Consider the following 11,391-nt stretch of genomic DNA (forward strand, 5'->3'; position numbering starts at 1 on the left):
AACTATACTAATAGTCATTGCATTCTTGTTTGTTTGTTTGTTTGTTTGTTTGTTTGAGACAGAGTTCCACTCTTGTTGCCCAGGCTGGAATGCAATGGTGCGATCTCACCTCACCGCAACCTCCGCCTCCCGGATTCAAGTGGTTCTCTTGCCTCAGCCTCCTGAGTAGCTGGGATTACAGGCATGCGCCACCACGTCTGGCTACATTGCATTCTTTATTACCACATACTCTCTAAAATATCCTTGATAAGCTGGACACGGTGGCACATGCCTGTAGTCCCAGTTACTTAGGAGACAGACTGGAAGGATCTCTTGAGCCCAGGAATTTAAATCCAGCCTGGACAACAGAGCAAGATCCTGTCTCAAAAAAATAAAAGAAAGAAAAGAAAAGAAAAGAAAAATTATTGGCTGGGTGCAGTGGCTCACGCCTGTAATCCCAGAACTTCAGGAGGCCGAGGCAGGTGGATCATCTGAGGTCAGGAGTTTGAGACCAGCCCGGCCAACATGGTGAAACCCCATCTCTATTAAAAATACAAAAATTAGCCAGGCATGGTGGCTCACACCTGTAGTCCCAGATACTCAGGAGGCTGAGGCACAAGAATCACTTGAACCCAGGAGGCAGAGGTTGCAGTGAGCCAAGATCGTGCCACTGCACTCCAGCCTGGGTGACAGAGCGAGACTCTGTCTCAAAAAAAAAAAAAAGAAAAGAAAAGAAAAATTACTGATGAAGCTGTAAAACAAAACAAAACACTAATTTTATTAAATTCTGAACCTTGAATATACGTCTTTTCGAAATTCTGTGTGACATTAATAAAGCACTTCTGTTGCATCCTGAAATACAACGCGTGCCTTGAAGAAAAGCACTTATGCAATTGAACTGTGAGCTACACTAGACACATTTTTTTATGGAACGTCATTTTTACTTGAAAGAATTACCGACAGACAAACCATGGCGGACATTTTTCTGCAAAAGAAAAAAGTGAGCTTATCACTTCAAGTGAGACAACTGGTAGTATTTGTTATTAATGATAAAATTCAAGCTTTCATGCTAAAATGTGAATTTTAAACAATATGTAATTTTCTACTGTGAGCTTGAGGCTTCCCAATTTTTAGATTTTGAGATTAGTGGTAATAATAAGAAATATGATTTTTTAAAATATTGCAGAACAAAATGTGTCCACATTTGGAAGATCTGCATAACCCAGTGATCTAATATTTCCCCCCAAATGGATGATCTTACAAATATCCATTCAATGGTCAAGACAAACCACTGGATTTCAATGTAACAATACAAAAATTTACTGATGTGATTTCAGATTCCACATTGCACCTGACGTTTAAGAAACTACTTGTCAAGTTCTGGTTTAGTATCGAAGAGGACTATTGGTGTGACGCCATATTTTCTTCATAAACTTCAACTAAAACAACTTACTGTTCACAGACTGAAGGCAGAAGCAGCTGTAAGAAACCAGCTGGGTTCTACTAAACAAGACAATAGAGATTTGTAAAAATGCTAAACACCACCATTCTTTTCATTAAATATTTTTTAAAAAATAGGCTAGGTGTGGTGTTTCACACCTGTAATCTCAATACTTTGGGAGACCAAGGTGGGAGGATCACTTGAGCCCAGGAGTTAAAGACCACCCTGGGCAACATAGTGAGACCCCATCCCCACAAAAAAAAATTTATTTAATTAGCTGGATGTGGTGGCACACCTGTGTTCCCAGCTACTGGGGAGGGAGGATGCGGTGGGAGGATCACTCGAGCCCAGGAGGTGGAGGCTGCAGTGAGCTGTGATTGTGCACTCCAGCCTGGGTGACAGAGCAAGACACTGTCTCAAAATATATATATAGTTATTTCCATTAAAAACATATTATTTCTGTCAACATATATGGTTTATTATTTTTAATAAATTAATAAATATAAAATTTTCTCAGCTTTAATTTCTAATTATGGTAAATATTAATAGATGTAACCCACAAAGAAAAGCTCTTTGGGATAGTTAATTTTTTTTTTTTTTTTTTGAGACAGAGTCTCGCTGTGTCGCCAGGCTAGAGTGCAGTGGCCCCATCTCAGCTCACTGCAACCTCCGCCTTCCGGGTTCAAGCAATTCTCCTGCCTCCGCCTCCTGAGTAGTTGGGACTACAGGCACCCACCACCATGCCTGGCTAATTTTTTTTTTTTGTAGTTTTAGTAGAGATGGGTTTCACCATGTTGCCCAGGCTGCTCTCGAACTCCTGAGCTCAGGCAATCTTCCTGCCTCGGCCTCCCAAAGTGCTGGGATTACAGGTGTGAGCCACCGCGCCCGGCCGGGATATTCAATTTTTAAGAAAGTAAAGAGGTCATGAAATAAAAAAAAGTTTGAGAATCACTAACCTAGATTATTACAAGACCCTCCTAATTGGTCTTTCTACTTCTGACTTACCCCACCATAGCCTCAATCAGACAAAGTAATTCTCTCAAAATATAAATCAGATTGTTATTCCTTTACTCAAACACTCCCAGAAGCTTCTCATCTCACTCAGAATAAAGACTCAAGTCCTGACATTTGCCTACAAAAACCCTGCACCTCACGTCCCATTACATACATCTCTGAAACGTGTCCGGGGACCACTTCTTTCACTGACTCAGCTCCAGCCACACTGACCTTCCTCTCCTTCCACTCTGCTCACAAGCTGTTCCTTCTGCCTGACAACCTCTTCCTCCAGAGAGCCACATAATTCACTCTTTGCCTTTTTCAGATCTGCCTTCAAAAATCACTTTCTCAACGAGGTTTCTCCAACCTGCCAATTAAAAGTTGCAAAACTCACACTCAACATTTCCAAACCCCATTCCTCTTTTATTTTTCTCACAGCATATATTGCCATCTAATATACTCTATATTTTACCAATTTCATATTTTTTATTTTATTATAAGCTCCAGAAGGACAGGGATTTTCATCTGTTTTATTAACTACTGTATAGTGCACTGGGACAAAATAGGAACTTCAGTAAATACATGTTGGATAAATGAATGAATACAGCATCTATTGGCCAGTAATCTAGACTGGTACCTTACGTAATTAACCAATGATACTCTGGCAGTTATCTTCTTCATTTGTTTTATTGTCTATAAATTACTTTGGCCTTTCTGAATTAGGAAACCTTTTGTATATCATTAGTATATATTTAAATATTTCTTTTCTCTCAACCACTGTGATGTATTAAAATTTCAAAGCCTTAGACCACAGGATGGTCTGAGCCCACAGAAAAACTCTGGGTTTGCATATGAATGGGTCATTTAGTTAATATGTACACATTTAAATAGTTTTGAACTGACTTGCATGTTGATCCTTTTTGAAACGTAGATAATCTGGTAATATTAGAATTTTCAAAGGCTAACCCTGTTGTATTGGTAAGTGTGTGAAAACTGCTTGTATAGATACAGTTAAAGCTTCCCTTAAAAGGTCAATATAAATTCTAACACACTTTAATATTGTTTACTTATGAATTAGCAGGTAAGGAAACGAGGACAAAATTATGAATGGCACCAAATATCTCTTCAACACATAGCCACATAAACTACGAATATTAATAATTAGGATATTTTAATGAGGAATCTTGATCAGATAACTTTTTAAAGCCTTATCGAGTTGTATAAAAATAATGACAGTGGGCAGGTACGGGGGCTCATGCCTATAATCCGAGCCCTTTGAGGGGGCCAAGGCTGGTGGATCACCTGAGGTCAGGAGTTCAAGATCAGCCTGGCCAACATGGCGAAACCCCCTCTCTACTAAAAATACAAAGATTAGCTGGATGTGGTGGTGTGCACCTGTAATCCCACTTACTCAGGAGGCTGAGACAGGAGAATCGCTTGAACCCAGGAGATGGAGGTTGCATTGAGCTGAGATGGGGCCACTGCACTCCAGCCTGGGCAACAGAGTGAGACTCTGTCTCAAAAAAATAAAAATGAAAATAGATAAAAATAATGACAGTAAGGATTCTTGTTAAGTTTTTTTCTCTCTATCTCAAAGGTTTCTGAAGGAACAAAATCTTTCGTGTGGTGAGTGTCTCCAGGATGTTTTCTGAAAGTAAACAGCACATTTTTCCCCTCTTTGGAACTGAAGCTAAGGCCACATTAACATGAATGGAGCTCCAGGTCTTTGTTTCATTAGTGTGGGTGTCTCCAATGAGCCTCCTACTGTGAACCCTAATAGGATTTCCCTGCTTACACCTTTGTTTGCCCTGGCTCCTCATGCTGCTCTGTGATGTTTGGTTTAATGAGACAACTCCTGTGATCCAGAAAGAAAAATAAAAGGAGGATCCTGTCTTTTCCTTAAACAGACAAAGGTGTAACTGAGGGAATTCAAGATTCTACTGTTTCCTGGCACTTTATGTTATCAACATGTGATGGCAATCCTGAACACACTGAGCCATCCCAGTAACCATTTAATCTCAAAAAGTCAGCCGCGGACTGGCAGATTGCATCTCACAGAAGTCCATTTAGCCTTAATAACGTGGAAAGACAGAAGACTTGAGTTGGAGGGGCAAGGAGTGGGTGAGGAAGGCAGAACAGAGAGTAGGAGCTCTAAAGTGTTTCTTCTGAAGTGAGAACTTGAAATGTAACCTAGTATGGGTGCAATCAAAGTACATACATAAAATAGGTAAAGTAACTATGGAAATAAGAACAGTAATAGATACAGTAACAGTAACAAAGTAGTAATAGGAAGGTTAGGGTAGCCTAAATAAACTGAATCCTCTCTATCATAGAGAAAGGTAATCATAGATAATGTCTAAAGTGGATACATAAAAACATGGAGACATAAACGTAATATTTAGGGATGTAACAGTAACTACAAGAGCAATTTAAAACAGAAACTGTTGTAGCAAGTGAAAAGAGGTTGGTTCTGGGTAGGAGGACTGGGTTCAAACTGCATTGAGGCAAGGAAATCTTTTTATGATGATGATGGTCTCTTGTCTTCTTTGATTGTATAACAAAGTATATACATATATTGCCTAGATAATAAAAATAAAATATTTTAAATGGAACCAAAACTAATTTGGTGGTCTGACCTGTTTGTTAGTGGAGTTGGGGCTGGATAGAGAGGTGAAATCCACTCTGGCATGTCAGACTCAACGGTTTGATACAAAGTATCAGCTTTTGCTGTTGGCCTTATTCAGGCATGAAAGGGGAACAAGAGGATTTCCAGGGGCTTCCAGTGGTCCTGGTGTCTTGGCCTTGCCGTGAAGATTTGGGTACAAGACAGGTGAGAGCTCAGGATAGTAAAGAGCATTCCAAAGTGAGTTTTCGTAATTGAGTTTTATTTATTTATTTATTTATTTTTGAGACAGAGTCTCGTTCTGTCACCCAGGCTGGAGTGCAGTGATGCAATCTCGCCTCACTGCAACCTCTGCCTCCCAGGTTCAAGCGATTCTCCTGGCTCAGCCTCCCAAGTAGCTGGGACTACAGGCACATGCCACCATGCCCGGCTAATTTTTTTGTATTTTTAGTAGAGACAGGGTTTCACTGTGTTAGCCAGGATGGTCTCCATTTCCTGACCCCGTGATCCACCACTCTCAGCTTCCCAAAGTGCTGGGATCACAGGCGTGAGCCACCATGCCTGGTCCTGAGTTATTTTCATATCCTGTAGATGGCCTAGAGAAATGGTCCTATCCTTCTCGAGTTACCTTAGAGAATTAAAGACACAAAGTAGCTCTGGGTCACAGAGGGACCCTTCTGTGCCTTGGCCCTGTAACAAACCAGTCATGCTTCGGAGAGAGAAAACTTGACTTTGTCCTTGCTGCTTCTGGGGTTGGAGGAGAAATGTAACTCTTCGTTGGTTAGTCCAGAAATCTCTTTCCTACTGGTGGCTTTCACCACTTGTTCCCAATTGTAGGTCTGTGGTCCATCTGCAATAAGTCCCAGGGAGCTTTATTTAAAGGACATATCTCTGGGCACCATCCATGGGGATCCTAATGCTGTAGGTCTTGAGTGGCGTTGAGGAATCCATAGTGATTCTGATGTGCCCCAGGTGTGGGAGCCACTGCTCGAATCCAGTCTAGCTTATGTAGTCCTTACAACCATCTTCAGAAATAGAAGACCAAAGTTCAAAAACGAATCGCTTTCCCCAAATCACACTTAAAGTCCATATTTTAAGCATATGTGTCTGCACTGGTAAATGTCTAACATCCAGTTCTCTAAAAACAGACCTCCCTTCCCTCAAATGGGCCCTGATTTGGAGCCTTTGCCAAATTTTGTGGTGTAAATACTTTTATGTTGGATGATTTCAGGCTGCCAACAGGACATTACTGTATGTGGAATTGTCAAGAGATGCTCGAGGACACACAAATATTTCCACCGTATAGATACACTAGACATAAATAACCTTAAGAGCATAGATTATATTAAACTGTGGTGAAATAATTAAGAAATAATACATATTGCATATTCATTGCATATTGCATATTCATTGCCTTTGTAATATTATGTATTTAACTAAGATTATATAATAAAAATTTTAATAATGCCTGAATTTGACAACCAGCTCTCAGACTTTCAGAAAACTTGATAATTGGCCCTCATGAGCTGATGCAAGGCAGCTCCAGCAGGGCCTGTGTGTCTGACTCCAAAGCCCTCGATACCAGTGTTTAATAACATGTGGTCTGTGGAATACTGGTTCTTTAAAATCTTTCCTGAAACCAGATTTTAAAGAGTTAAATATGTTTGGGAAATGATGCATCGTTAATTTGCTTCCTTAAAATCTACCATTTAGATGGACATACCATAGGCCTTAAGAAGTGCTGAGGTAATGAGACCTGTTAATTTCAACCCAATGTTGCCTTTTTCATGCAATAGCATTCAGCATCCTGCAGGATCATGTGTTTGTGGTTTTGTTTGTTTGTTTATATTTCTTTTCTTTTTCTTTTTTCTTTTCTTTTTTTTTTTTTTTTTTTTTTGAGACAGGGCCTGGTTCTGTCCTCTAGGCTGGAGTGCAGTAGCATGATCTCAGCTCACTGCAACCCCTGCTCAAGCGATCCACCTGCCTCAGCCTCTGGAGTAGCTGGGACTACAGGAACGTACCATCACGCCCCTCTAATATTTTCATTTTTTGTAGAGACGGGGTCTTGCTATGTTGCCCAGGTTGATCTCAAACTCCTGGGCTCAAGTGATCCTCCTGCTATGGCCTCCCAAAGTGCTGGGATTATAGGCATGAGCCACTGCACTCAGCCATCAGTGTGTTTTAGAATGCACTTTGGGAAATGCGGTGCATTTGGGGAAGTCCTAGTAAAGTAATTAAAGCACTGACTCTGGAGCCAGACCACCTGTGTCTAAATCCCGACTCCATCATTTACTAGTTGTGGGTCCTTGGGCAAATATACTCTTCCTGTCTCAGTTTCCTTTGAGCTATAAAACAGGAATAATAATAATAATGCCTATTTCATATGGTTGCTGCAAGGATTAAATGAGTTTATATATGTGTAAAGTACTTAACACAATCCTAAGCACCTAAACAATGTTATCTGAGTACAAGCTGTTATTGTTGTTGTTATTATTCTTACACTATTCAGCTTCCAGCCCAATCATTCCAGTCTCCCAGACTCTCAGATTTCCTATCAAGCTATACCAAAGAAGGCAACATGATGGCAAGGATGGGGCTGTTGACATTCCTTCCTGAGTTCAAAGCATTTATAGCCACACTAGAAAGATTTGGAGTTTGCCATTTTCTTTCCAGAACTTGCCAACTGGGACTGTGATTTTAGATGTGCATACATTTAAATAAAGACTTCTTTAAATAGAAACCATTTAGACGTCCCATGGCATTGGTTATAGAGAAATTTTCCCTTGGCATCAAGAAAATAACAGGCCTTTTCCTTCTGAGTCAGCATCATTGGAAGTAGGAATTGTCACCCTTCACGGAAGACTGGCCCAGGTTCTGACCTTCCCTAGTTGTCTCATGTCCATGGCTTTTTCCCAGTCAGATGAAGGGCATGAGCCCCTCCAATGCCTTGTCTTCTTGCCAACTTAGCTAATTGCATTCTGCCTTAGGAAAGGGGATGAGAGTGACACCTCAGAACAGATTTCCACAAGACTTGGGTTAAGAGAAGCTAGCAGTGACCTCATCCTAGTTTTGTGAAAATATGATTTTATTTGAAAAAAAGTGATTTAGGTAAAAGGCTTAAAGAAGTCATTTACAAAAAGAAATATAAAAGGCCAAGAAAGATACAAATATTTCTAACCTCACTTATAATCAATAAAATGTAATAAGAATCTAAATATGTTTCTTGTATTAGGATGGGCAGCCAGGCATGGTGGCTCACGCCTGTAATTTCAGCACTTTGGGAGGCTGAGGTGGGCGAATCACATGAGGTCAGGAGTTCGAGACCAGCCTGGCCAACATGGTGAATCCCCATTTTAGTACAAATTTTGTACTAAAAATACAAAAATTAGCTTGGAGTGGTGGTAGGCACCTGCAGTCCCAGCTACTCGAGAGGCTGAGGCAGGAGAATTGCTTGAACCTGGGAGGCGGAGGTTACAGTGAGTCAAGATCGCACCATTGCACTCCAGCCTGGGTGACAAGAGTGAAACTACATCTTAAAAAGAAAAGAAAGAAAAGAAAGGAAAAAAAAGGATGGGCAAGGGGATTTTTGCTGATTTTGTTTTGTTTTGTTTTTTTGACTGACAAAACCTGTAGTGGAGAAAGTGTGATGAAACTAGGACCCTCTTGCATTATTACTAGGACTACACAATCTTTTTGGAACATTCTTAGATAATATGCAGTATTTGAAATGCATATGCCCTTTAATACAGCAATTTGACTTAAAGATAATTGGACACGTAAACAAAAACGTAAGTTCAAAGAAGTTTAAAACTGTCTACGTGGTAGGTTGAATTGTTTTCAATTTTCCCTCTTCTTTATTTTATTTATTTATTTATTTATTTTTTGAGATGGAGTCTTGCTCTGTCGCCCGGGCTGGAGTGCAGTGGCAGGATCTCAGCTCACTGCAACCTCTGCCTCCCCATGGCTGCAGTGAGCCATGATTGCACAACTGTACTCCAGCCTGGGCGACAAAGTGAGACTCTGTCTAAAAAAAAAAAAAAAAAAAAAAAGAAATGTGTTGAAAAGTAGGAAAACACCCTATGAAGGATTTATTCATATATCTATTCATTCCCAAGCATTTATTGAGTGCTTACTATGTGCCTTGCACTGTGCTATATTCAAGCAGATTACAGTGTGGCGGTAGTGGGGTTCAAGGGATCTCCTGCCTCAGCCTCCTGAGTAGCTAAGACAACAGGCGCACACCACCGCGCTTGGGTAATTTTTTGTATTTTTAATAGAGACGGGGTTTCACTATGTTGGCCAGGCTGGTCTCGAATTCCTGACCTCAAGTGATCCGCCCACCTTGGCCTCCTAAAGTGCTGGGATTACAGGCATGAGCCACCAGGCCTGGCGTTGGTCTCAATTGTTCACCCCAACCTGCAGTTATAAGTCCTCATCATAACCAAGGTCTATTTCCCCAACCCTTGACTGGACTTGGCCATATGATGTGCTTTGGCTAACAATCTATGGGAAGAAGTGACATTAAGCCCAGACCTTAAGAGACCTCAAGTATTTCTGCTTTTCCTCTTGTGTTCCTATATTCTCCAAAAGAAAAGCATGTCCCAGTTGGCTCTTTGGTCTCAGAAAGAAGATAAGAGACACATGGAGGAGAGTCAGCCTTGCCAGCATATAGACAGAGCAGCTATAAGTTGAAGCTAAAACACACACACACACACACACACACACACACACACACACAATATATATATATAAAATATATATGTATTTATAAATGTAAATATATATACATATATAAATGTAAATATATATATATTTTTAATTGTCATTTGAAGCCTCTGATTTTGAGGACAATTTGTTATGCAGCAGTAGTTAACCAATACAGTCCCTCAATAGAATATACTATATGTAATACCATACTAAGCAGCCATTGTAAATGATTAAACGATCTATAATTTTTGACATTTAAAAAATCTATTTAATATTGTTAAGTGAAAAAAAATTGAGTTTTACTGGGCATAGTGGCTCATGCCTGTAATCCCAGCACTTTGAGAGGCTGAGGTGGGCGGATCACGAGGTCAGGAGTTCGAGACCAGCCTGGCCAATATGGTGAAATCCCATCTCTACTAAAAAATACAAAAATTACCCTGGCATGGTGGCATGCACCTGTAGTCCCACCTACACGGGAGGCTGAGGCAGGAGAATTGCTGGAACCCAGGAGGTGGAGGTTGCAGTGAGCCGAGATTGCACCACTGCACTCCAGCCTGGGTGACAGAGTGAGACTCCATCTCAAAAAAAAAAAAAAAAAAAAAAAATTGAGTTTCAAAACATAATCTATCTAGGTACAATTACACATATGAACATGCACACACAGATATAAGAAAGAATGTATCATAGTGGTTGTTTCTGCATGATAGGAATCAAAAAATATATTATTTTCTTTTCTCTGTAGTTTTGTATATTGCTTGATTTCATTTTTCAAAGACCATCCATCTTTTTTATAATTGGAGACATGGCAATGGCAATGATTATGATATGTACTGAGAAAATAAAGACTAGCATTTTTGGAATAAATAGAAACGTAGTTAGAGAGGAAAAAGGGACCCCATATTACATGCAGCCTCAAAAGGTGGATAGAGTTCAGATATGATATATAAAGAACTAGAAGTAGACATAATACTAGTTAACATTGATTTATTCTTACTCTAAGCACTCTGATAAGTGCACTATCTCTCATTTAATCCTCATAGCAATCCTATGAGGTCATAATTTTAATTGTCCTATTTATTTATTTATTTATTTTGAGTCAGAGTCTCACTCTGTCACCCGGGCTGGAGTGCAGTGGCACCATCTTGGTTCACTGTAACCTCTGCTTCCCAGGTTCAAGCAATTCTCCTGCCTCAGCCTCTCAAGTAGCTGGGATTATAGGCACGTGCCACCACACCCGGCTAATTTTTGCATTTTTAGTAGAGATGGGGTTTCACCATGTTGTCCAGGCTGGTCTCGAACTCCTGACCTCAGGTGATCCACCCACCTTGACCTCCCAAAGTGCTGGGATTACAGGTGTGAGTCACTGCACCCAGCCTAATTGTCCTTATTTTATAGAAAAAGGAACTGAACTTCTGAGTGGATAAATACTTTGCAGTAGATCACACAGTCTAGATTTGAACCCAGGTCTCTCTGACTCCAGGACCCTTCTTCTTGCCAGTACACATGCCTACTCCCATTGCACGATTTGCACAGAGAGAGTGATCCAGAGGCACCAGGTATGGAATCCAAATACCTAAGATCTTACAATGTGAGGGACCGTAATGCAAGTCCAGTGGAGGGCATTATAGCACAGAGGACAGGCCAC

The sequence above is a fragment of the Homo sapiens genome, chromosome 11, assembly GCF_000001405.40.
Source record: "Homo sapiens chromosome 11, GRCh38.p14 Primary Assembly".
Taxonomy (NCBI): domain Eukaryota; kingdom Metazoa; phylum Chordata; class Mammalia; order Primates; family Hominidae; genus Homo; species Homo sapiens.